This window comes from Homo sapiens, chromosome 5 (genome assembly GCF_000001405.40).
Source record: "Homo sapiens chromosome 5, GRCh38.p14 Primary Assembly".
Taxonomy (NCBI): domain Eukaryota; kingdom Metazoa; phylum Chordata; class Mammalia; order Primates; family Hominidae; genus Homo; species Homo sapiens.
In genome coordinates, this window is record NC_000005.10 from 141,119,129 (window position 1) to 141,146,066 (window position 26,938).

Below are 26,938 nucleotides of genomic sequence, written 5' to 3' on the forward strand. Positions count from 1 at the left end.
TCTGGCAACCAATTATGTAAATAGTCATATGAATCCTTCAGAATGGATAACACAGCTTTTCTGACTGGTGTGAAATAGTTTTCAGGTGCTCATTCTTTACTTCATTAGCTTATCTTATATCATTAGCTTATCCTCCATTCAGGTATAACAGATCTTTTTTTTCTGATAAATATGGCAGTTTAGGGAAATAAACTATGGCATAATATGCTAGGCCATTCTTCTAGGCCACGCTTCTTGATTGTAACCTTAAACCCTTTATCAGAACCTAAACAACTTTTCAAAAGATCTATACATATTTTTATCCAATGTTTAAGGCTATGAGTAATTCATTATGTCACTCTTCATTTTTTTCACCTGATAATGATCTCGACAAAAATGTTGAGTATTAGTTTTCCTTCCAATGTGTAAGTTGTATAAACATCTCTCTTTACTGGTAACTAACTATCTCTAAAGGGAGACAAGTAATTTTTAAGTTTCTAATAATAATTGAAAATTTGAATATAAATATATTTCACCTATGATAACCATGTACCCAAGGCAAGGCTGAAGTTGGGATCTAAATTATCTGAAAAGTTGTTCACCTCTCCAGCTCTGCTTAGGTATAGAAAAGAATGGTTTCTGGAGTCACATAGTAACAGTTTAAATCCTGGCTCTGCCGTTTCACATGCTGTATGACTTTGGACAGATTATTTAAACTCTGTGTGCCACAATTCTTCGTCTTTAAAATGTGGCTAATAAGACTGCCCACCTCATAGGGTTGTTGGGGTGATAAAATGAGTCAACATACGCAAAATGCTTAGAAAAATATCTGGTGTATAGTGGATATATATGTTAATGTTATTGAGATTTCATTTACTTTTGGATTGCAAAAGGAACTGAAAAGACCCAATTCTTACTCTATGTCAACATGTAGGAATAAGTAAACAAAATATGGTTTGAATTTTGTCCTGAATGCATTAACTTGAATCTAACTAAAACCTGGTTACTATATTAGAAACAATTTTCTCTTTGATTTGCCCAGGAGATTTGTTTTCCAGTTATGTCTAAAATAATACTCTTTCTTTTTATTCTTTTCAGTATATATTTTTATTGTTTTTCATTTAATAGTGATGCATAGTGTATCTTTTCTGATTTACTTTAAATGTGAAAGAAAATTCTAAGATGTTAATATTATTATTACTGCCATTGATATATCCCTTATAGGAATTAATTAATAGAAATAGAATCAAAGTAAATTTAGTTATATAATGCTTAGCATGTATTATATTCTCAAAATTCTGTATTCAGTTTCAGACATGTTCAAGGCTGAATATATGATCTGACAATAATCTGCTTATATAGATAAAAACATCATTTGAGTGGATTAATTTATTAATTCAACTGGTATTTACTAAATAAAATCCATGTATCTTTCACAATTTTTACTAATACTTTCTATCACTATCAGAATCTGAAATCTCAGATTTCATGCTTTAAAAAGAATTAATTTAACATGAATTATAAATTATAATTACTTATATGAATTGGATAACTAAATAAAATAACAAGATATTTAAGGGGAGAAAATCTTATATGTGGCAAGATAAGTGGTGCTCCATTCAGTGTATTAATTGCAACCAATAAATTGGTTAACTGTGTCTCAGTGGTACCATTCTTTCTTATTGTTTGAGAGTAATCACAGTAGCTACACACTGTGGTGGGATCCATTTTATACACAAGTCTCTTTACTTCACCATATCTGAGTAGAGACAGCCTAAGTCACCCTTTGGTCACAGAATAAAATATTTTAAATCAGTGCTTCTTGTTTTCCCCAAAATTAGCTGGTCAAGGAATATGATATCTGGGATACAAAAGGTGAGTGTGGTAACAGGCAAACTCATTGTAAAATATAGATTACATCTATCTTGCTAAATAAGCTCAGCTTAAAGCCTTTATCTTCACAAAATTCTGTGACTGTTACTCACTTTTGTCTTGACATTATCCTCATAATAGTCACATAGAATAATCAAGTCCTGTTACCCTCTGAGCTTCAGTTTTAGTTTCCTTATCTTTTATTTCCTCTTTAGTTCTAAGAATCTGTGATTCTAATACTATTTGCCTTACTCCTAGGTTCAATGTAGGTTCACACTATAAATTACTTGATACAAAACAAGATACCTGTCTATTCACCTGTATTACTATTTGCACATTAAAGTAGGAAAATAGAACCTTTCGTTTCAAAGGTAGTCGCGCTTTAGACCATGTATAGAGAACATCTTAAACTTTTGCATCATCACAAAGTCCTCACATTCTTAGAAAAGAACATTTATAACTACTAAGAATTGAATTGAAAGTGTATAAAAATTTGTCTCCTGTGGCTGGATTATGTAAAGAAGAAATGGAGTTCTTTGAAGTTTCACTGATAAGCGTGTGGGGAGTCTGAGATATCTTCTTGATTTGTGCTCATGATTATTCTGGTTCGTGCACTGTAATTAAATAACCTTTTAAATTATGCAGTTTAATGTAACAAAGTTTGTAAAAATTCTATGCTCTTAAAAATGGCTTTTATTTTAAAACTTCCCAAATACGTTGTCTTGAAGTTGTTAATTTCTCAATCAAGACGCAGGGTGGCGCTGCAGGCTAAGTTGTGAATAATGAGCCCTAAAAAGCTCGCGCGTATTCTTCTGTGTCGCTAGACGCAATCAAAAACACACGGAAGAAGCGTTACAAGCAGTGCAGGTTTACCAACGGCTTGGGGCAGCGATATACTAAACAAATTTAATATTAAAAGCAACTGTGTGACGATTCCTCCAAGCAAGAAATTGGAATTGAATGTCTCAAGTCTCGTTGCGGTTGCTGAGGGGATTGGATATAGGGACCTGGACTCCAACATGAAGAAGCTAGGGAGAATTCATCCAAACAGGCAAGTGTTGGCCTTTATTTTGATGGTGTTCTTGTCTCAGGTTCGCCTCGAGCCTATTCGTTATTCTGTGTTGGAGGAAACAGAGAGCGGCTCCTTTGTAGCCCATCTGGCCAAGGATCTGGGCCTGGGAATTGGGGAACTGGCCTCCCGGTCAGCCCGGGTGCTGTCTGACGATGACAAGCAGCGTTTGCAGCTGGATCGTCAGACTGGAGATTTGCTTCTGAGGGAGAAACTAGACCGGGAAGAGCTCTGTGGTCCTATTGAACCGTGTGTACTGCATTTCCAAGTGTTCCTGGAAATGCCGGTGCAATTTTTTCAAGGAGAATTATTGATCCAGGACATAAATGATCACTCTCCAATATTCCCTGAAAGGGAAGTGCTCTTGAAAATACTAGAAAATAGCCAGCCGGGTACTCTATTTCCGTTGCTAATAGCTGAGGATTTGGATGTGGGCAGCAATGGTCTTCAAAAATACACAATCAGCCCCAATTCTCATTTTCACATTCTCACTCGAAATCATAGTGAGGGCAAGAAATACCCAGATTTGGTGCAGGACAAACCACTGGATCGAGAGGAGCAGCCTGAGTTCAGCTTAACCCTCGTGGCGCTGGATGGTGGGTCACCACCTAGGTCTGGCACGGTCATGGTTCGAATCCTGATCATGGACATCAATGACAATGCTCCTGAGTTTGTGCACACTCCATATGGGGTGCAGGTCCTGGAAAACAGCCCCCTAGACTCTCCAATTGTTAGGGTCTTAGCTAGAGATATAGATGCTGGAAACTTCGGGAGTGTTTCTTATGGCTTATTCCAAGCATCAGATGAAATTAAACAAACTTTCTCAATAAATGAAGTCACGGGAGAAATACTGTTGAAAAAAAAATTGGATTTCGAAAAAATTAAATCTTACCATGTAGAAATTGAGGCCACAGATGGAGGAGGCCTTTCTGGAAAAGGCACTGTAGTCATAGAGGTGGTGGATGTGAATGACAATCCCCCAGAACTTATCATATCTTCACTCACCAGCTCCATCCCAGAAAATGCTCCTGAGACGGTAGTCTCTATCTTCCGAATTCGAGATAGAGATTCCGGAGAAAATGGAAAGATGATTTGCTCTATTCCAGATAATCTACCGTTTATTCTAAAACCAACTTTGAAGAATTTTTACACCCTGGTAACAGAGAGACCACTGGACCGAGAGACCAGCGCTGAGTACAACATCACCATCGCCGTCACTGACTTGGGGACACCCAGGCTGAAAACCCAGCAGAACATAACCGTGCAGGTCTCCGACGTCAATGACAACGCCCCCGCCTTCACCCAAACCTCCTACACCCTGTTCGTCCGCGAGAACAACAGCCCCGCCCTGCACATCGGCAGTGTCAGCGCCACAGACAGAGACTCGGGCACCAACGCCCAGGTCACCTACTCGCTGCTGCCGCCCCAGGACCCGCACCTGCCCCTCGCCTCCCTGGTCTCCATCAACGCAGACAACGGCCACCTGTTCGCCCTCAGGTCGCTGGACTACGAGGCCCTGCAGGCGTTCGAGTTCCGCGTGGGCGCCTCAGACCGCGGTTCTCCGGCTTTGAGCAGCGAGGCGCTGGTGCGCGTGCTGGTGCTGGACACCAACGACAACTCGCCCTTCGTGCTGTACCCGCTGCAGAATGGCTCCGCGCCCTGCACCGAGCTGGTGCCCCGGGCGGCCGAGCCGGGCTACCTGGTGACCAAGGTGGTGGCGGTGGACGGCGACTCGGGCCAGAACGCCTGGCTGTCGTACCAGCTGCTCAAGGCCACGGAGCCTGGGCTGTTCGGCGTGTGGGCGCACAATGGCGAGGTGCGCACCGCCAGGCTGCTGAGCGAGCGCGACGCAGCCAAGCACAGGCTCGTGGTGCTTGTCAAGGACAATGGCGAGCCTCCGCGCTCGGCCACCGCCACGCTGCACGTGCTCCTGGTGGATGGCTTCTCCCAGCCCTACCTGCCTCTCCCTGAGGCGGCCCCGGCCCAGGCCCAGGCCGACTCTCTCACCGTCTACCTGGTGGTGGCGTTGGCCTCGGTGTCGTCGCTCTTCCTCTTCTCGGTGCTCCTGTTCGTGGCGGTGCGGCTGTGCAGGAGGAGCAGGGCGGCCTCGGTGGGTCGCTGCTCGGTGCCCGAGGGCCCCTTTCCAGGGCATCTGGTGGACGTAAGCGGCACCGGGACCCTGTCCCAGAGCTACCAGTACGAGGTGTGTCTGACAGGAGACTCTGGGACTGGTGAGTTCAAGTTCCTGAAGCCAATATTTCCTAATCTCTTGGTTCAGGACACCGGGAGGGAAGTTAAGGAAAACCCCAAGTTCAGAAATAGCTTGGTATTCAGTTAAGTATTGTATTTAGTTCAGTGAACCGCCCGTTAGTTTTGTCAAACTTCCCACTGCAATGCCTTTATTTAAAAAAATTGTCTACTTATCTAAATATTCATACCACAATTTCAAACCTACTCATGTCCCTGATAAAGCTAAATTTGTCCCTTTTTTATTGTTATTAATTGCACTTAACATTTTTAGTTATACTGGATATTGAGTATGGATTTTCTCTATATTTGATCTATTGGTGATTAATCTTTTTGTAATCATAAATTACTCAATTAGGATAAAAATAAATTATGTTTTAATGAAATTCTTAAATTAACATCTTTTTAATGGAACATTTAAGTGAATATATGAATATTGAATTTCTAAATATTTGTTGTGCCTGTCTTTACCATGTAACTTAATGTTTGCAAGGCCAGAGTGTTTGAAAGTTTTGTATTTAACTTTATAATTACCTTGTCCTTTCTGGTTGACTATACTAGGCTAAGCCCTCTTAATAGCCATGAGTGTAAAATTTAGTTTACTCATTTTTCACAAATTGTATATAAACATGCACTTCACTACATTGGTAATACACTAAAATTGTGGTCCTTTTCCTCTTGTGACCACCACATGTCTAGTGATTATTTTGTTTATTTGGTTGCTACTTACCTAGCACATTGTAATGTTCCATGAATGCTAATATTAAATTTTGTAAAAATAACTTATTTATAAATAATTTTTAAAGAGAAAAATCTCATATAATTTGTCATAACCTTTCAATAAATAAAACTGTTAAATCATGGCCTGATATCATCTTAAAAAAAAATCTCAGAATCTGAAATAAGCCCTAAATTTCTCCCCAAAATCAAGACTCTTGAGAGCATCATAGGTCTCCTTGTGCTACCTTTTACTCCCTATAAATAGAAATCCAAGTATACTTTAATATGTGTATATTTTTTGGTTTTCCTACAGCTTCTCCCCATCTTTCAAAAGAATCACGAAATTTCTTCTGCACCTTGGCTATTCTGTTTAAATCTGATAATCAGTTGATCTCAGGTTTTTCACTGTACATTACTTTGCAGATATGGACAGCCTTTACAAAAATAATTTTTAAATGCTTAATTATTTTAATTTGTTCTTTAAGGTAACCTTCAGTTATTTTGAATTAATTTAACTTCTCAATTATGCCAAAGTTGCACTTGCATGAAATAAATATTATTTTGTCCTTGTATAGACTGGAACAGTAATAAATTTATCTGAATTAAAATTGTTTTATGCTGTGATCAGTAAGCCCAGTAAGCTAGGTAAAGTTGTATGGATATAACTATAGTACACCTCTATTTTACTTTTGGCAGAATATGAGCAACTGAAGAACTTGCTTTATAATCTAACATTTATTTTTAAATCTCAAGTATCATCCTACTGGAGTTAAATTACTTGCACTTTTCCTTGAATTACTCTTGTTTTCTAAACGTGTAATGAAATAAAAAGGAAAATTGACTGTTATTCTTGAAACATATTTTTTAGCATTTATTCAATTTAAAAATCAAAGTGAAGAAGATATAAAGTGAGAACAGAATATAACATACAAATATGTAAGACATAAATATGGTAGTCAACTTTAATGTCTTCTTCCATTTATTATTAGCTACTTAAATGAAATAGCTTTGAGGCCGGGTGTGGTGGCTCATGCCTATAATCCCAGCGCTTTGGGAGGCAGGCAGATCACCTGAGGCCAGGAATTCAAGACCAGCCTGGGCAAAATGGCAAAATCCCGTCTCTAAAAAAAACACAAAAATTAGCTGGGTGTGGTGGTGCACACCTGTAATCCCAGCTACAGGAGTGGCTAAAGCAGGAGAATTGCTTGAACCCGGGAGGTGAAGGTTGTGGTGAGCCGCACCTCCAGCCACAGAGATCACACCACTGCACTCCAGCCTGGGTGACAGAGTGAGACTCTGTCTCAAAAAAATTTTAAAAAAAAGAAATAGCTTTTATTTATGATGACAAGTAAGAAATCTGGTTGAAGTTTTCACCAACTATATACTGACATGATGAAAGTCCAAAATCATTTTTTTTGTTGTTTATGCAGGGTAAGTCCAATTCGTATAATCACCCAAATGAGACCGTTCAAATAAACACCCCAAACCGACATCATCCTTGGAGGTATTCATAAAGCATGACTCATTCCTTACCAGCTAGGTGTAGTATAGATCAACATTTAAAAATTCAATTATTAGAATTTAGTTGTAAACACGATCCAAATAACTTTCACAACATGCATACCTTATGAAAATAGGCCAGTTCTATTGTCACAGAACAAAATTAGAGAATGGAGGCCAAGAATCTTGATAATAACACCCATCCCAACAGGTATTTTCTCAAATTAATCTATTATATATGCATCTTTTACAGTTCCCCTGCTACTGTTATTTTTAGGCACAGCATATAGTGAATTTAACACACACTGTTTTGGAGACAGAAATTCTGAAGGCAACGTAGCCCATATCAATTTAGAATCCCCTCTCCTTGGCTGGGTGTGGTGGCTCATGCCTGTAATCCCAGCACTTTGGGAGGCCAAGTGGGGAGGATCGCTTGAGGCCAGGAGTTTGAGACCAGCCTGGGCAATATAGTGAGATCCCTGTTTCAACAACCACAACAAAAAGTTAGCTGGTCATGGTAGCACACATCTGTAGTCCCAGCTACTTGGGAGGCTGAGGCAGGAAAATTGCCTGAGCCTAAGAGTTTGAGGCTGCAGTGAGCTATGATCAGGCCACTGCACTCCAGCCTGGGAGACCCAGCAAGACCCTGTCTCAAAACAAAACAAAACAGAACAGAACAAAATGATCCCCTCTTCTTTTACTATCAAAAGTTACAAAATATATTTTAAATAGTCTAAGGTTAAAACTATGCATATATTTGGTGAAATTCTGCTTCCAGAGTAGATGGATTATCTAGCCGCAGAAAGCAACTCTAAAAATTGGTTAAAATGTAAAATTATCTGTTTTGAAGTAACTGAAAACAGATAATATAATAAGATCTGAATGGGCCAAGATTCCTGAGAAGGAAAATTCTTGGAGGTGAAAACTGACTCCTGACAGGAGTTTTACCCTGAGGAAATATGCTAAGTCTGAGAACAAACAAAAAGCTTTTGTCAGAGACAGAGTAACTTCAATAGCTGTTGGGGTTGACTGGAAGATTCAAGTTCATGGCCAAATTTTCCCCTCAGGACACTTGTCAAACTCAGGGAAGCCCAGAGAAAAAGACTAAAATCCTAACTGGAAAATTTCTGAAAAGGAAAGTGAAGTTTTAATAGTCTTGCTATTGAAACATTAGAGTTTAGGATCTGCCATGGGAAGGGGCTGTGGAGAATATACCAAGTTCTCAGCTGAAAATTCTGGAGAGCCAGGTGCTTATCAGGACTGCAAAGAACCTTGACAAAGCCCAGTGCCTGTTTCAGTTGAGATGATTTGTTTAGACAGAACTCTATCAAGTTAACAGTGGAAAAGGTGAACTCTTGTTGGAGGAAGATAATATCTTAACCTTGGATAGCTTTTTATGTAAATATTCAACATTCAATAAAAAATTCCTAAGTACACACACCAAAAACTGGATACATGAATAAAACCGAGAGAAAAAAAAGACAATAAAAATTACCCATAAATGATTCAGATATTAAAATTAACTGAATGATATTAAAATAAGTAAGACTAATATGTTAAAAATAAAGAACAATAGAGAAAATAAGGAGATAATTTCACTGGAGAATTGAACTTTAAAAGTGAAAGTTAATTCTAGAACTGAAAAATTATATTATCTGAAATTAAAACTATTTAAATGGTTTAATGTCATAGTCATAAAATGATACAGGATTAGTGGATGCAAGACAATTCAATATTAACATCCAAATATAAGCACAGAGAATAAAATAATAAAATATACAGAAAAGAACATTAGTGATGTGTGGAATGTAATTTTTAAAAACTCTAACATACTGAAAGAGAGAACAAGCATGAGGCAATATTTGAAGAGATAATGATAAAGAATTTTCCAAAACTGGTGAAAATCCTTAATCCTTCAAGATATTCAAGAAATAAATAATAACAGGCTAAATAAAAACAAAGCCTAATTAGGCATATCATAGGAAAGCATCTCAAGACCAAAGTCAAAGAGATAATTTAAGAACCAACCATGTAAGAAATAAAACATTCCTGTTAAAGGAGCATCAGTAAAATGGAGAGCTGACTTTTCAACATAAATCAGGAAATCAAAAGACAAAGGAATGACATCTTTAAAGTCCTGAAAGAAAATTACTACCAGGTTAGAATTCTATTGCCAGCAAACATATCCTTCAAAAATGAATGCAGTTTTCAGACAAAAATGAAGGGAATTAACGACAGTCACATCTGCACTAAAAGAAATACTTTTTTTTTTTTTTTCGAGACAGAGTCTCACTCTGTTGTCTAGGCTGGAGTGCAGTGGCACAATCTCGGCTCACTGCAATCTCCACCTCCTGGGTCCAAGCTATTCTCCCCATCTCAGCCTCCTGAGTAGAGGGGATTACAGACATGTGCCGCCACGCCTGGCTAATTTTTGTATTTTTAGTAGAGACAGGGTTTCACCATGTTAGCCAGGCTGGTCTCGAACTCCTGACCTCAAGGGATCCACCCGCCTTGGCCTCTGAAGGTGTTGGGATTACAGGCATGAGCTACTGCATCTGGCCAAGAAATGCTTTTAATGAAATGCATTAGGCAGAAGGAAAACAATCCAAAAGAAATCACAGAATTGCAGGAATAAATGAAGAGCAATAAGAAAGGTCAATGTACATGAATGTTGATTGAATATTGATTATACAAGGCAATAATATTAATACTAGTTTCTTAAAGGATTTAAATTATATGTAAAATTTAAATTTATAACAACAATAATGTAAAAGGCAAAGGTATAAATAGAGTTAAAAAGTGTTAAGGCTGTAAGCATTATCATGGAAGTAGTAAAATTACTAACGTGTGTTAGATTCTTGTATATTGAAGATGCATGCTGTAATTTATTGGATAATCCTCAAAGTAATAAAACACTAATTGAAGGAAGAAAAATTAAAAATATCTGAATAATCAAAAAGAAAAATTAAACTTTAGTGACAAATAGAAAAGTAATTAGATGGTAAGCATAAATGGAAATATATCAGATATTGTATTAATTTTATTTGGATTAAATAATCCAATTAAACAACAAAAATTGTCAGACTAGATTAAAGAAAAACTCAACTCTATGCTATCAAATTGTGTGTGTGTGAACACAGAAAGAGTGAAGGTTTAAAAGAATTGGATAAGGTATATAGTAATATAAACACTAGCCAAAATAAATCTAGGTAGCTGTATTTACATAAGACAAAAGAGACTTTAAGGAAAGATACATTACTAGAGATAAAGAGAAGTTTTTTTATAATCATAAAGAAGTAAATATACCAGAAATATGTTAGTTTTAAGACTGAATACATCCCAATTAGATAACTACAAAATATATAAAGTTGATAGAATACAAATACAAAGTAGACAAACCCAATTACACAGGGAGATTGAATACAACTCTCTCAATTCCTGTTAGAATAAGAAGAAAAAACACACACATACAAAAAATGTTGAAGATCCGAACCACACGAACATCATATTCAAATAAATTGACATGCATAGCACACTGGAGCATACACATTCTTCTTATATGCATGTGGGATATATAAAAATTGTTCATGTTCTTTGTCATGAATGAAGTCTCAAATATTTAAAAAAGAATTGAGGCCAGGCACAGTGGCTAACACCTGTAATCCCAGCAGTTCAGGAGGCAGAGACGGGCAGATCACAAGGTCAGGAGTTCGAGACCAGCCTGGCCAATATGGTGAAACCCCGTCTCTACTAAAAATACAAAAATTAGCAGGGTATGGTGGCAGGCACCTGTAATCCCAGCTACTCGGGAGGCTGAGGCAGGAAAATTGCTTGAAACCGTCAGGTGGAGGTTTCAGTGAGCTGAGATCGTGCCACTGCACTCCAGCCTGGGCGACAGAGCAAACTCCTTCTTGGGGGGGAAAAAAATTGAAACTACTTAGAGTATGTTCTTTGACCACAGTGGAATTAAGCCAGAAATAAAAATATAATAAATCTCCAAATATTTTAAAATCAAATTGCATAATCCATGAGTCAAAAAGAAATCACAACAGAAATTTCCAAATATTTTGAACGGGGAAAAATTAACACCTGGCGTATCAAAACAGTACTTAGAGGGAAATTTAAAATCTTAAATGCACATGTTAGAAAAGAAAGGCTAAAAATCAATAATCTAAGCTTTCATCTCAAGAAGCTAGAAAAAGAACAGCAAATCAAATGCAAATAAAGATGGAAGACAATTTTATACACACACACATAGGCAGAAACAAAATAAATGACAAATATACAACAGAGGAAATCAGTGAAGCAAAAAGTTGGTTTCTACAATGATTAAAATTTAAAACTCTTAGACTAATCAAGAAAAAAAGAGGGAAAACACCAACTGCCAATATCAGGATAAAAAAAACACAACTACCAACCTACAGACATTTAAAAAATAAAAAAGAAATATTATGAACAATTTTATGCCAATAAACTTGACAATTTATGTAAAACAGAAACCATCCTTTAAAAACACAATTTTCCGAAACTGAAACAGGACGAAATTAAGATCTGATTAGTCATATCTATTATATTAATTAAAGTTGTTCATTAAAAACCTTCCCACTCTAATTCACAGCAGTGAATTCTCCCAAATACTTATGTCAAAATTATCACTAATTTGTACAAACTCCTTCAGAGAGTAGAAAAATAGACATTTTCCAAATCATTTGGGTGCCAGCATAAATCTGAATAGGTTATAACATTCAAACCTGAATAGGATATTATAAGAAAAGAAAATTACTATTCTTTTTTATAAATATGTATGGAAAATTCATTTTTAAAAATATTAGCAAATAAAATTTTAAAATGTATAAAAGAAAAATAATAATTGGAAAATGGAGTTTATTTTAGGAATACAGAGGCAGTTTAATATTTGAAAATTGATCATTGTAATTTACCATATTAAAAGATAAAGAACAAAACATGATTATTTCAATGGATACAGAAAAAAGTCATGTGATAAAATTCAACACACAGTAGTGGTAAAATTATTAGCAAACTAAAATCAAAGGGAACTTTCAGAGTGACTTTAAAAACCTACAGGAAACATCATTAACAATAAATTTTCAAAAATTTTCCCCTGGAGATCAAGAATGAAACAAGGATACCTGTCTTTTCTTCTCCAATTTAGTATTCTATCACAGGTCCTAAACAGCGGAATAAAGCAAAGAAGGAATAAAAGGCACTATGATTCGAAGGGAAGAAATAAAAATGTCTTTTTAAGTGGACATACTTGTATACCTTGCAAGCCATGAAGAATCTACAGGCTACTGGAATTAATAAATGAAGTTAACAATGCCACTGGATACAAGGTCAACATACAAACATGAGTTCTATTTCTATTTAGCAACAAAAAAAGTGAAAAATTTAAACATTATGCACAATAATTTCAAAAATAGCAGCTATTTATAAACAAATCTAGTTGAATATGTATAAGACTTCTACATTGAAAACTAAAATATGAGAAAAATTAAAGAAGATCTAAATAATTACAGGAATATACAATGTTCACTAATTGGAAGACTCAATGTTGGGAATATGTCAGTTATCTCTTAGTCAATCTATAGATTCAATAAAATCTTAAACAAAATTCCAGCAGCTTTCTTTGTGAAAATTAATGAGCCGAGCATTAAGTTTATTTGAAAATACAAAAACAGTAATAACCAAAGGAACCCTGATGAAAAGGAACCAAACTAGAGATACCACACCAAAGTCACAATCCGCAGAATAAAGAGTTAATAAGCTGGACTTCATTAAAATTAAAACTTTCTGCTCTGCAAAAGATACTATGAAGAGAATGAAAAGACAAGACATAAACTAGGAGAAAATATTTGCAAAAGGCATATCTGATAAAGGACTGTTATTCAAAATATACAAAGAACGACTAAAACTCAGCAACAAGAACCCAATTTAAAAATAAGGCAAAGACCTTAAGAGACACCCACCAAAGAAGGTATACAGGTGGCAAATAAACATATGAAAAGATGCTCCATATCATATGTTAACAGGGAAATGCAAATTAAAATAACAGTGAAATATGACTACACACCTATTAGAATGACCAAACTTCAGGACACTGACAGTGCCAAATGCTGGTAATGAGAGCAAAAGGAGCTCTCATTCATTGCTGGTGGGAATGCAAAATGGTACAGACACTTTGGAAGACAGTTTGGCAGTTTGATACAAAACAAAATATACTCTTACCATGTTATCTAGCACTCATGTTCCTTAGTATTTGCCCAAAGGAGTTGAAAATTTATGTTCACACAAAAACTTGCACAGAGACGTTTATAGCAGTTCATTCATAATTGCCAAAACGTGGAAGCAACCAAGATGTCGTTTAGTAGGTGAATAGATAAACAAACTGCAGTTCATTCAACCCATAGAATACTATTCAGCATCAAAAAGAAATGACCTAACAACCCATGAAAAGACATTGAGGAAATCTAAATGGATATTACTAAGTGAAAGAAGCCAATCTGAAAAGACTACATACTGTGTGATTTCAACTACATGGTGCTCTAGAAAAAGCAAAACTGTGGAGACAGTAAAAAAATCCACTTGCATTGGGTTCTAGGGGAGGGAGGGAGGTATAAATAAGTGGAGCACAGGGGATTTTTAGAGCAGTGAAACTACTTTGTATGATATTATAAAGGTGAATACACATAATTTTAAATTTGTCCAAAGCCATAGAATATACAGCACCAAGAATGGGCCCTAATGTAAACTATGGACTCCAGGTTATAATGACGTGCCAATGTAGATTCATCAGCTGTAGCAAATGAACCACTCTGGTGGAGGATGTTGATAATGGGTGAGGCTGTGCTTGTGTGGGGACAGGGGCATATATGAAATCTCTGTACTTTACTCTCATTTTTGCTGTGAACCAAAAACCATTCTAAAAATTTAGTCTACTTTTAAAAAACTGGAGAACTTACTTCTCAGATAACAAAACTCATGATAAAGCTATAATAATTAACACAATGAGTTATTGTAGGATAAACAAGATTGAATAAAACATCTTCAGAGCTATGGTTACCTAATTTATAACAAAGATGACATTTCAAAAACAATGGAAAATGGATTGTCTTTTAAATAGATGGTGCAAAGGTTTAAAGCATTCAGATACTTACATTTTAAACCTTTTGACTCCAAACTCATTCACTTGAAAAGTTAATTTCAGGTTGATTATAGCTTTAAATATGAAAAATGGAATAATTAATCTTTCAAAATACATCATACAAGAATATTTTCATGACCTTGGAGTATGTGAACATTTAAATAGAACACAAAAAAATGCTAATCATACATGAAACTTATTGACAAATCTGACTAAAGGTAAGAAATTTTATTCATCAAAGACACATAATAGACTTGAAATAAAAACCATAGAGTGGGAAAAGATATTTGCAATACATATATCTTAAAAAGGACTTATGCCCAGAATATATGAGAAACTTCTGCAGATCAATAAGCAAACAGGCAAATGCCTCCCCCCAAAAAAGTAAAAAGGTTTGCATAAGCCCTTCACAAGATTGTATCCTAATGGCTGATAAACATGAAAATGTGCTCAAATTGTTTAATCATCAGGGAAAATGCTAACTAAAATTACAATATCATATCACCATACACTAACCAGAGTGGTTTAAAATGGAAAAGATAGCATCAAATGTTGACAAGAATGTGGAGCAACTGGAACTCTCATACTTTGCTGGTATTAGTACGACTACTTGAGAAAACTTTCTCATTATCTGCTAAAGCAAAATATATGTGCACATCTTAATGCATAGCAATCCAACTCCTTTGAATATATTCAACATAAACACATATATGTGGTCACCAAAAGACTAGTACAAGGATGTTTATACCAGTACTACCCCAAAGAGCTTAAACCTGGAAAACAATGTTCATCAACTGGAGAATGAATAAATAAATCATAGTATATTCATACAACAGAATGATATAAAGCAATGAGAATAAAACAAATAAGAACAAGATGCCACAGATCAATTTGCTGAACATAATATTGAGGAGAAGAAGCCAGACACACGAGAGTAACAATCTATAACTCCATTTGTATAAAGTTAAAAAAAAAAAAAGCAAAAAAAACCTATGACAACAGAAGTCAGGACAGTGCTTATCTTTTGGGGAGAGGGTGGTAACCAGACAATAGCAGGTGGGGACTTGGGTTTGGGTAGTATTTTTAATCTAGGTTCTACTTACAGGAGTGTGTTCACTTTGCGAAAATTCATTGAGTTATACACCTATGATTTGTGCCATTTTCTGGGTGTTATTGGTGTTTACTTCAAAGTGAAAGTAATTTTTCTTAAACTTTAAATTTCTATAGATATTCCTGATCACTTATTTAATATAATCAAATAAGAAACACCAAACAAAGTGTATTTGTGTACTCAAGGGTACTTTTATGGAGATTAATATATAATTTTAGTTTTTTTCTCAAAAGTATTTTCTCACTGAAAATTAACTCCACAACATTTATTTAGAACTTTCAGCAACTAAGAGCTGGAGATACCATCGGGAGAGCTTATGTGACAAAAGGGTATGGATACACGTCAGTTAGAATTTAGGATGAAATGGCAAATACTATATGCAATAGTAAATTAGGACGCCTGGTGGCGCTGCAGGCTAAGAGTGTGGATAGTGGGCTCTGCGGATAACTCAGACGCCATTAAGCTGGGGAATCCAAACTCTAAAAGAAGGACGCATTTTAGGTAAGATCTAGTGGCTAGATCTTCAGGGTGGGCTTCGTTCTTGTGGAAATCAGTCAAGAAAGATCGGATTCGCGGTTATTTATGCAAATCATCTGGGTGGATTGTGTACGGAGTTAAACTGCGCCTTCTGGACCGGGTCTGAACAATGGAGACTGCGCTAGCAAAAACGCCACAGAAAAGGCAAGTTATGTTTCTTGCTATATTGTTGCTTTTGTGGGAGGCTGGCTCTGAGGCAGTTAGGTATTCCATACCAGAAGAAACAGAAAGTGGCTATTCTGTGGCCAACCTGGCAAAAGACCTGGGTCTTGGGGTGGGGGAACTGGCCACTCGGGGCGCGCGAATGCATTACAAAGGAAACAAAGAGCTCTTGCAGCTTGATATAAAGACCGGCAATTTGCTTCTATATGAAAAACTAGACCGGGAGGTGATGTGCGGGGCGACAGAACCCTGTATATTGCATTTCCAGCTCTTACTAGAAAATCCAGTGCAGTTTTTTCAAACTGATCTGCAGCTCACAGATATAAATGACCATGCCCCAGAGTTCCCAGAGAAGGAAATGCTCCTAAAAATCCCAGAGAGCACCCAGCCAGGGACTGTGTTTCCCTTAAAAATAGCCCAGGACTTTGACATAGGTAGCAACACTGTTCAGAACTACACAATCAGCCCAAATTCACACTTTCATGTTGCTACGCATAATCGCGGAGATGGCAGAAAATACCCAGAGCTGGTGCTGGACAAAGCGCTGGACCGGGAGGAGCGGCCTGAGCTCAGCTTAACACTCACTGCACTGGACGGTGGGGCTCCGCCCAGGTCCGGGACCACCACAATTCGCATTGTCGTCTTGGATAATAATGACAACGCCCCCGAATTTTTACAATCATTCTATGAGGTACAGGTGCCCGAGAACAGCCCCCTTAACTCCTTAGTTGTCGTTGTCTCCGCTCGAGATTTAGATGCAGGAGCATATGGGAGTGTAGCCTATGCTCTATTCCAAGGCGATGAAGTTACTCAACCATTTGTAATAGACGAGAAAACAGCAGAAATTCGCCTGAAAAGGGCATTGGATTTCGAGGCAACTCCATATTATAACGTGGAAATTGTAGCCACAGATGGTGGGGGCCTTTCAGGAAAATGCACTGTGGCTATAGAAGTGGTGGATGTGAATGACAACGCCCCTGAACTCACCATGTCTACGCTCTCCAGCCCTACCCCAGAAAATGCCCCGGAAACTGTAGTTGCCGTTTTCAGTGTTTCTGATCCAGACTCCGGGGACAACGGTAGGATGATTTGCTCCATCCAGAATGATCTCCCCTTTCTTTTGAAGCCCACATTAAAAAACTTTTACACCCTAGTGACACAGAGAACACTGGACAGAGAGAGCCAAGCCGAGTACAACATCACCATCACTGTCACCGACATGGGGACACCCAGGCTGAAAACCGAGCACAACATAACGGTCCTGGTCTCCGACGTCAATGACAACGCCCCCGCCTTCACCCAAACCTCCTACACCCTGTTCGTCCGAGAGAACAACAGCCCCGCCCTGCACATCGGCAGTGTCAGCGCCACAGACAGAGACTCAGGCACCAACGCCCAGGTCACCTACTCGCTGCTGCCGCCCCAGAACCCACACCTGCGCCTCGCCTCCCTGGTCTCCATCAACGCGGACAACGGCCACCTGTTTGCCCTCAGGTCGCTGGACTACGAGGCCCTGCAGGCGTTCGAGTTCCGCGTGGGAGCCACAGACCGCGGCTCCCCGGCGCTGAGCAGCGAGGCGCTGGTGCGCGTGCTGGTGCTGGACGCCAACGACAACTCGCCCTTCGTGCTGTATCCGCTGCAGAACGGCTCGGCGCCTTGCACCGAGCTGGTGCCCCGGGCGGCCGAGCCGGGCTACCTGGTGACCAAGGTGGTGGCGGTGGACGGTGACTCGGGCCAGAACGCCTGGCTGTCGTACCAGCTGCTCAAGGCCACGGAGCCCGGGCTGTTCAGCATGTGGGCGCACAATGGCGAGGTGCGCACCGCCAGGCTGCTGAGCGAGCGCGACGCGGCCAAGCACAGGCTGGTGGTGCTGGTCAAGGACAATGGCGAGCCTCCGCGCTCGGCCACCGCCACGCTGCACGTGCTCCTGGTGGACGGCTTCTCCCAGCCCTACCTGCCGCTGCCGGAGGCGGCCCCGGCCCAGGCCCAGGCCGACTCGCTCACTGTCTACCTGGTGGTGGCATTGGCCTCGGTGTCGTCGCTCTTCCTCTTTTCGGTGCTCCTGTTCGTGGCAGTGCGGCTGTGCAGGAGGAGCAGGGCGGCCCCGGTCGGTCGCTGCTCGGTGCCCGAGGGCCCCTTTCCAGGGCATCTGGTGGACGTGAGCGGCACCGGGACCCTATCCCAGAGCTACCACTACGAGGTGTGTTTGACCGGAGACTCAGGGGCCGGCGAGTTCAAGTTCCTGAAGCCGATTATTCCTAACCTTTTGCCCCAGGGCGCTGGTGAAGAAATAGGGAAAACTGCTGCCTTCCGGAATAGCTTTGGATTAAATTAGAGATCTCGTGATGACGCGTTGTTTTCTGCCATTTATCCCAAACTTTTTCAGATCTAGAATTCGAGAGTGTCATGGACAAAAATTTCACCTTGAGATTGAGCTTTTATTTCCCTTTTTAATGGATTTGTCTGTTGAACTTCATGCTGTCCAAGTGTTGAAAAGTCAATTTTATTTCATTGCATTTATTTACATAGTGTCATTCCAAATCCATGCATGCTGTTGATTTTCCTGAGATTTTTTTCTCTTCTTGTTGGTATTTGTTGTGATAAACCACCTTAATAAAATCAAGTATTAATTTTATTTTCTATATATTCTGCCCATTCTATTTCATCACACTCTTAAGTATTATATATTTGATGCTAAAATGCAAAAATTAAAAATGTTTCACATCATCATATTTTAATTGTTTAAAACAAAGACAAATACATACATATGCTAACAAATGAAATATGTGAAAAAATATGTAAAAGGAAACAATCTTCTATTTACTCTTTTTTGCAGCCCTGAGTCCTATTAGCAAACTTTTTAAAAACAGTTTAATTGAATTATTACTTACATGAAGAAAAATGAACAAATCCTTTATGTTCAACTCAATATATATTCACAAAGTAACATATTTATTACCAGCAGCTTGAAGAGAAAATGAAACATCACTGGCACCCCAGGTGCCACACAAATTACTCCTTACAATCACTACTACCCCAAGTATAGCAAATATGCTGACTTCCAATACCATAGTTTAATTTTGCCTCTTCTGAATTTATATAAATGGAGTAATAAAGTATGAACTGCTTGTGTCTGGCTTTTTTCACTCAGCATTATGTTTATGAAATTTATCCATAATACAGCTTTTAAGTTTAGTCCTTTCATTCTCATTGCTGTATAATATTCCACTGTATGAATATACCACAGTTTATTATCTATCCTTTAGATCAGTATTTGGGATGGGGCAAAGTTTGGCTGTTATGAATTATACTGCTATAAACATTCTTTTAACATGCCTTTTGCCAACCTGTATATGCAGTTTTGTTGGGTATATGCCTAGGAGTGGAATTGTTGCCCATCTTGCAAGTACACGTTGACTTTTAGCAGACATTTCCCAATAGTCTTCCAGTGGTTGTACTAATTTACATTGCTATTCCCAGTGTCTGGATGTACAAATTTTTCCACATTTCTGCCAACAAACTGGTATTGTCTGTTTTTCATTTTATCCCATTGGCAAGCACTTTATACAGTTTTTAAAGCTCTTATATTTACTTGCTTATCACTAAGGAATATGTTTGTAACCATTATGAGCTGAACTGTGTTCCTATATCCCCCTCAAATTCATATGTTGAAACCCTAACTCCCACTACCTCAGAATGTGACTATGTTTAAAGATAGGCCCCTAAAAACAGGTAATCACATTAAAATGGGTCCTTAGGGCAGAACTTAATCCAATATAACTGCTGTACTTATAAGATGAGGAGATTAGAACATAGAGAAAGAGATGTCAGACATGTAAACACACAGAGGGATGATTATGTGAAGACACTAGAAGAAGATAGCCATCTACAAGCCAAAGAGAGAGGCCTCCAAATGAAACCAACCCTGCCAACACTTTGATCTTGGACTTCTAGATTTCAGAACTGGGAGGAAAGAAATGTCTGTTGTTTAAGCCACCCAGTCTGTGGTATTTGTTACAGCAGCCATCACAAACTAATGTAGTAACTTTCACAAACTTTAGACAATTAATTTCCTATCATGATTGCTGAGTAACTAGCACACTTAAAACAACTTCAATCTTTTGTTTTTCAGAGGTATCTATATTACTATTTTTGGGTACTTCTCTGGTCAATCTGAAACCTTTCTTTATTGTTCCAGTAACAACAGTTTCATTAGATTTTTGTATGAAGAAAAGAATAGCATTCTTATTCTTCTTTTTATATCTGTTTCTCTCTTAACACTTTCCAACCTCTCTCAGTTGAACTTCTACTCTTACATTTTATTTTTACAACCATAGCTAAGAATTCCTTGTCTTGTCTATAGATATATTTTATTTTATTTTATTTTATTTTGAGACGGAGTTTAGCTCTTGTTGCCCAGGCTGGAGTCCAGTGGCACGATCTCGGCTCACTGCAACCTCCGCCTTCCGGGTTCAAGCGATTCTCCTGCCTCAGCCTCCCGAGTAGCTGGGATGACAGGCATGTGCCACCATGCCCAGCTAATTTTTGTATTTTTAGTAGAGATGGGGTTTCTCCATGTTGGTCAGGCTGGTCTCGAACTCCTGACCTCAGGGGATCCGCCCACCTTGGCCTCCCAAAGTGCTGGGATTACAGGTGTGAGCCACCACACCTGGCCATCTATAGATATATTTTAGAAGATAATATTTAAAATTTACTTTTAATGACTATATAAATTATGAATGCCCTGCAGTCCCAAATCACCAAGAACACACCGAATCAGAACAAAGTTGGGTTTATTGACTTGTTGCAATGAAGGAGACTGCACACAATAGGAAACAGAGGTCACTTTAGTAACAGGGTCTTGCAGAGGAGTTATAGGATTTGGTCTTCTGTTAGGTGGTTTTAACAGAGGTTCAAGAAGTAGAGGTTAGCTCTGGATTGGATGCTTTCAGAAAATTGGGTAATTCTATATTATTTTAATGAATTTCATTTAAGAAGTGGGAAAAACACTGAAATTAAATCTATAATTGGTAAATAAGCAGCATTCACTCATACTAGCAAGGAAAAAGAGCTCTTTTGTCTTTTTCTTTTTTTTTTTTTAGACATTGTCTCCTCAGGCATGAAGTCTGGCTCCAACCGGGTTATAAGGTTATTTTCTGGTCTTGGTGTTATATGAAATTATTTGCATTCAATAGGAGAAGATTATGGCCAACCTGTGAGTGTCAGAACAGTTCCACGTTGTTGGGCTGATTCTCTTCTCAAAATATTGTTCATTGCAGAGCCATATTACTTACTGAAACCTCTAAGTATAGTCTGGGATTGCTTATGGATCTAAGTAATCTTAGAGCTGAGATTACTTAATTTCTACTATTATTTTCTTGATAATGTATCCCTAAGTTTAATCTTGTTATTTCCATCTGAGATTTGTGCTTGTCTGTTATTAAATATTCTTAATAAAAATTTAAAAAACAAACAAAAAAGATATTGAATATTCTTATTTTTCTGTTTCTTATATTTCTCTTTTATTTTACATTTTTAGCTTTTCTTCTATGTCCTGATGTCTCTCACTTTATGTTTTAGTGATAGGGACTATCTTTCCTGCTCTTTGGATCCAATGTTGCACTTCCTGTACCATTGAAAACAGTTATGTTCCTAAAATCAAGACCAAATAGAGTCATCATTTTAGACTCCATTAGTTGGCTTTACCATATTTTCAAAATCTCAATCAATAATTCACTTTACCATCTTTTCTAACCTGAAGCCCTCTAGCTTTCTGCTTCCATCTGGACTAAATGATCTTTAGGTCTGTACAAAACTGTCATCTTGTCTTCATACCTCTCTTGGTTGAGTGCATTATTTAACAGATCACTTGTCTCCCTTTTTATTCCCTCTCTTTGCTACAATATATCCTGAAATGTCTTCCTAAAGGAGAGTTCACAAAAAAGCCAATTTCTGTGTCTCTGCCTAAAATGCATTTAGTTTTCCTTCATATTTAATTGATGATTTGGCCAGACACAGAATTATTGCTTGGAAATTTAAAATCATTAATGTGTTGATTATTGATTCATAATTTTTGATAAAAATTTTATGCCAGTGTGATTGTTGATTTTTTTATACCCCCATCTCTCTCTCTCTCTCCATATTTCTGTAGAGAAAGGAATCTTCTGTGTCTCCTTCCCTCAGAATTTTCTCTCTTCTTTTTAGATGTCTTGAATTTCATAATAGTATTATAATTTTTTCATTCCTTTGACTGAACACTCAATGTACTTATGATTCTAACAATTTATACCTTTTTATCTCTGGGATTACTTCATTTCTATTATTATTATTATTTTGAGACAAATCTTGCTCTGTTGCCCATGCTGGAGTGCAGTGGTGCAATCTGCAGTCTCGGCTCACTACAACCTCTGCCTCCCAGGCTCAAATGATTTTCCTGACTCAGCCTTCTGAGCAGCTGGGACTATAGGCACACACCACCACATCCAGCTAATTTTTTTTTAAAATAGAGTTGGGGTTTCACCATATTGGCTAGGCTGGTCTCAAACTCCTGGCCTCAAGTGATCCACCTGCATCAGCCTCCCAAAGTGCTGGGATTACAGGTGTGAGCCACTGTGCCTGGCCCATTTCTACTATTATTTTCTTAATAGTTGTATCCCTAAGTTTAATCTTGTTATTTCCTTCTGAAACTTGTGCTTGTCAGATATTGAATATTCTTAATTATTTCTGTTTCTTATATTCTTTTTTATTTTACATCTTTAGCTTTTCTTCTATGTTCTGAAGTCTCTCACTTTATTTTTGAGCATTTCTAATGAATTTTTAGTCTTAGTGGCATATTCAAGTTTCTACGAACTTTATTATTAAACATTATTATATATTATGTACTATTATTACTACTACATACTTTCAGTGTACTTGGCTATTTTCTAAATACTTTATACATACTCATTTAATCGTCAAAATAATGGTACAATTAGTGTCTATATTTTCAGGGTGAACAAACTGGAGCACACAGAGGTAAAGCAATTTGCCCAAGGTCACTGTCCTAATCAGTTTGGGCTGCTGTAGCAAATACTATAGATTGAGTGGCTTATAAATAGCAGAAAGTAATTTCTTACAGTGTTAGGGCTGGAAGTCTAAAATCAGGGTGCTAGCATGGTTGAGTTCTGGTGAGGGCCCTCTTCCAGGTTTCAGAGTGCAGACTTCTCCTTGTATCCTCACATGGCAGAAAAAAAGGCAAGAGAATTCTCTGGAATCACTTTTACAAATGCACTAATCTCATTCAGGGCTGCTTCTTCTCTGGAATCACTTTTATAAATGCACTAATCTCATTCAGGGCTGCTTCTTCGTGACCTAATTGCCACTCAAAGCCCTACTTCCTACCATCACGTTGGGGGTTAGGATTTCAACAGTCACCTAGCTAATAAGAGGCAGAAGTAGAATTTGAATCCAGGCAGCCTGACTCCAGAGAAATTGCTTCATTTTTATGAAAGAACTTTTTTTTTTTTTTTAGCGACAAGGTCTTGCTATGTTACCCAGGCTGGTTTTCAACTTCTCAGCTCAAGTGATCCTCTTGCCTTGGCCTCTTGAGTAGCAGGCAGATGCTACCATGCCCAGCTCAGAAATTGCTGTTTGTTTGTTTTTACTTTTTTCTATTTTAAAATCTATCAAAATTCAAAAGAGTGTATACAACATATATGTACAATAATAATAATAAACAATAATAACATGGTCACTCATCTACCCATTACCCAGCTTAAGAACTAGAATGATGCCAAGATGTTATGCCTCCACCATAACATCTTTCAACCCTATGAAAAAGAACCAGTTTTCTGAATTTTTACTTAATTGTTTGTTCTTCTTTATATTTGCAATAGAAAAGCATGTATTCCTAAATGACTTACCATTTAGTTGTATCTGTCTTTGCAATTGATACAAATGAATTTATATAGTATGGATCCTCTGTGAACTTGCTCTTTTTAATCATTATGGTATTGAATTTATCCATGTTAATTCAGTTTATTCACTTAACTGTTCTATAGTATTCCATTATATAAATGGAATACTATGAACTTTAAATTCTTTTTACTAATGATTTACTTTTTGGTTGTTCTAAGAGTTTTGTTACTATAAACAATGCTGCTATAAGCATTCTTGAATATATTGCCTCATACATTTGGGCAAGGGTTCCTTTTGGGTACAGGCACATCCAGGAAGGGACTATCTGGGTCATACCAAGAATCAGGAAAATATTAAAGTGAATGAAAATGACAACAAGGAGATGCTGACACCAAGATGACAGATGTTAGAATTATCTGACAAATTTTAAAAACAGAGCTCATCAAAATGTTTAAATGAGCAATTATGAACATATTTGAAACAAATGAAAAACAGTCTCAGCAAAGAAATGAAAGATATAAAGAAATGCCTATGGAAATTTTAGAAATTAAAGTTATAATAATGGGGCCGGGTGCAGTGGTTCACACCTGTGATCCCAGCACTTTGAGAGGCCGAGACTGGTGGATCACCTGAGGTCAGGAATTCGAGACCAGCCTGGCCAACATGGTGAAACCCCGTCTCTACTAAAAGTACAAAATTAGCCAGGTGTGGTGGTGCATGCCTGTTATCCCAACTACTTGGGAGGCTAAGGCAGGAGAATCACTTGAACCCAGGAAGCGGGGAGGTTGCAGTGAGCCAAGATTGCCTCGCTGCTCTCTAGCCTGGGTGACAGAGCAAGACTGTCTCAAAAAAAAAAAAAAAGAAAGAAAAACCCAGATATAATAATTGAAATAAAAACTCAAGATATGGGCTCCACAGCAGAATGGAGGGAACAAAGAATCAATGAACCAGAAGATGGAACAATAGAAATTACCCATTCTGAACAGGACAGAGAAAATAGAGCATAAAAAATGAACAGAGGCTCAGGAACCTGTGGGGGCATACCAAAAGAACTAACCTTTGTGTCACTGGAGTCCCAGAAGGAGGCCAGAAGGAGGGTGGAGCTAAAAAAAGTACTCAAAGAAATAATGGCTGGAAACTAAGCAAATTGGCAAAAGGCATAAACCAGAGATTCAAGAAGCTGAACAAATCCCAAACAGGATAAACCCAAAGGAATCCACACCGAGGCATCATAGTGAAATTTCTGCAAACTAAGGACAAAACATCTTTAAAGCAGTGAAGGAGAAATGACACCTTACCTACAGGGCAGTAACAATTTGAATGAGAGTAGATTCCTCATCAGAAACCATGGAGGACAGAAGGAAGTTGCACAATATTTTTCAAGTGCTGAAAGAAAACAACTGTCATCCCCAAATCCTATATCCAGTGGAACTATCCTTCAGGGAAAGAATTTGTTGCCAGTATACCTACCTTAAAATATTTGCTAATGCAAGTTCTCCAAACAGAAAGGAAACAATTTAAAAAGCAATCTTGGAATATCAAGAAGGAAGAAACAACACAAGAAACAAAAATATGAGTAAATACAATAGACTTTTCTTTTTCTCTTGAGGTTCCTAAATTATGTTTGGTGGTTGAATCCAAAATTATAACACTTTCTAAATGTGGTCCTAAGTGTATGTACAGGAAATATTTTAAACATATTATAAATGAAGGAGGGTAAAAGGACACACAGGGAGGTACATTTTCTATGCTTCATTTGAACTGGTAAAAATATCAGTTAGTGATATCAATCAGTAAACTGATAAGTTGCGTATATATAGTATAATACCTAGAGTAATCAGTAAAAAGCTATAAAAAGTGATACACTCAAAAAAACAACCCACTACAGCTAAATCAAAACAGAATTCTAAAAAAATGTTCCAATAACCCACAGGAAGTTAGAAAAATGAAAACAGAGAGACAAACAAAAAAACAGAGAAAACAAACAGGAAACAAAAAATGGCAGAGTTAATCTCTACTAATCAATAATTATGTTAATGTAAATGGTTTGAGCACATCAATTAAAACAAACATTGGGAGAATGGGTTTAAAAAATCATGACCCAACTATATGTCTCAAAATTAATTTCAAATATAATGATATATGCAGTTTGAAAGTAAAAAGACAAAAATGCATACAATTATTAATGTAAAAATAAAGCAGGAGCTGGGTGCAGTGGCTCATGCCTGTAATCCCAGCACTTTGGGAGGCTGAGGCAGGAGGATCACCTAAGGTCAGGAGTTTGAGACCAGCCTGGCCAACATGGTGAAACCCCATCTCTACTAAAAATACAAAATTAGCTGCTGTGGTGATGGGCGCCTGTAATCCCAGCTACTCCGGAGGCTGAGGCGGGAGAATTGCTTGAACCTGGGAGGTGGAGGTTGCTGTGAGCCGAGATCATACCATTGCACTCCAGCCTGGGAGACAAGAGCAAAACTCTGTCTCAAAAATAAATAAATAAATAAAAATAAGAATAAATAAATAACTGAATAGATAAATTAATTAATAAAGCAGGAGTAGCCATAATGTCATATAAAGTAGACATGAGAGCAAAGAAAAGCATCAGAGACAGCATGGGACATATCAGAGACATAGTGGGATATTATATAGTGATAAAAGAAGAAAACATAGCAATCCCAAATGT

General features: G+C 37.8%; 2 protein-coding genes and 1 further gene across 2 annotated transcripts, besides 2 other annotated features; all 3 read left to right on the top strand.

Moving 5' to 3' along the window:
• PCDHB@ (protocadherin beta cluster) overlaps positions 1–26,938 on the top strand; it is a 197,972-nt gene that overhangs the window by 67,735 nt on the left and 103,299 nt on the right.
• On the top strand, positions 2,690–6,495 carry PCDHB4 (protocadherin beta 4). The gene has a single exon (NM_018938.4). It carries the CDS (start codon positions 2,871–2,873, stop codon positions 5,256–5,258), a length of 2,388 nt encoding a protein of 795 aa, NP_061761.1. The 5' UTR covers positions 2,690–2,870; the 3' UTR covers positions 5,259–6,495.
• PCDHB5 (protocadherin beta 5) lies at positions 16,078–19,487 on the top strand. Its single transcript, NM_015669.5, has one exon. It carries the CDS (start codon positions 16,307–16,309, stop codon positions 18,692–18,694), a length of 2,388 nt encoding a protein of 795 aa, NP_056484.2. The 5' UTR covers positions 16,078–16,306; the 3' UTR covers positions 18,695–19,487.
• Positions 17,776–18,309: an enhancer, noted in NCBI's record as "H3K27ac-H3K4me1 hESC enhancer chr5:140516486-140517019 (GRCh37/hg19 assembly coordinates)". NCBI's record gives its function as "activates a minimal SCP1, AML or CMV promoter by ChIP-STARR-seq in primed H9 embryonic stem cells {active_cell/tissue: H9 hESC(primed)}" and the evidence as "EXISTENCE:reporter gene assay evidence [ECO:0000049][PMID:30033119]".
• Positions 18,310–18,842: an enhancer, noted in NCBI's record as "H3K27ac-H3K4me1 hESC enhancer chr5:140517020-140517552 (GRCh37/hg19 assembly coordinates)". NCBI's record gives its function as "activates a minimal SCP1, AML or CMV promoter by ChIP-STARR-seq in primed H9 embryonic stem cells {active_cell/tissue: H9 hESC(primed)}" and the evidence as "EXISTENCE:reporter gene assay evidence [ECO:0000049][PMID:30033119]".

Excerpts from the sequence above, each read along its gene's own strand:
- PCDHB4 (NM_018938.4), top strand. The coding sequence starts at position 2,871 with ATGAAGAAGCTAGGGAGAATTCATCCAAACAGGCAAGTGTTGGCCTTT.
- PCDHB5 (NM_015669.5), top strand. The coding sequence starts at position 16,307 with ATGGAGACTGCGCTAGCAAAAACGCCACAGAAAAGGCAAGTTATGTTT.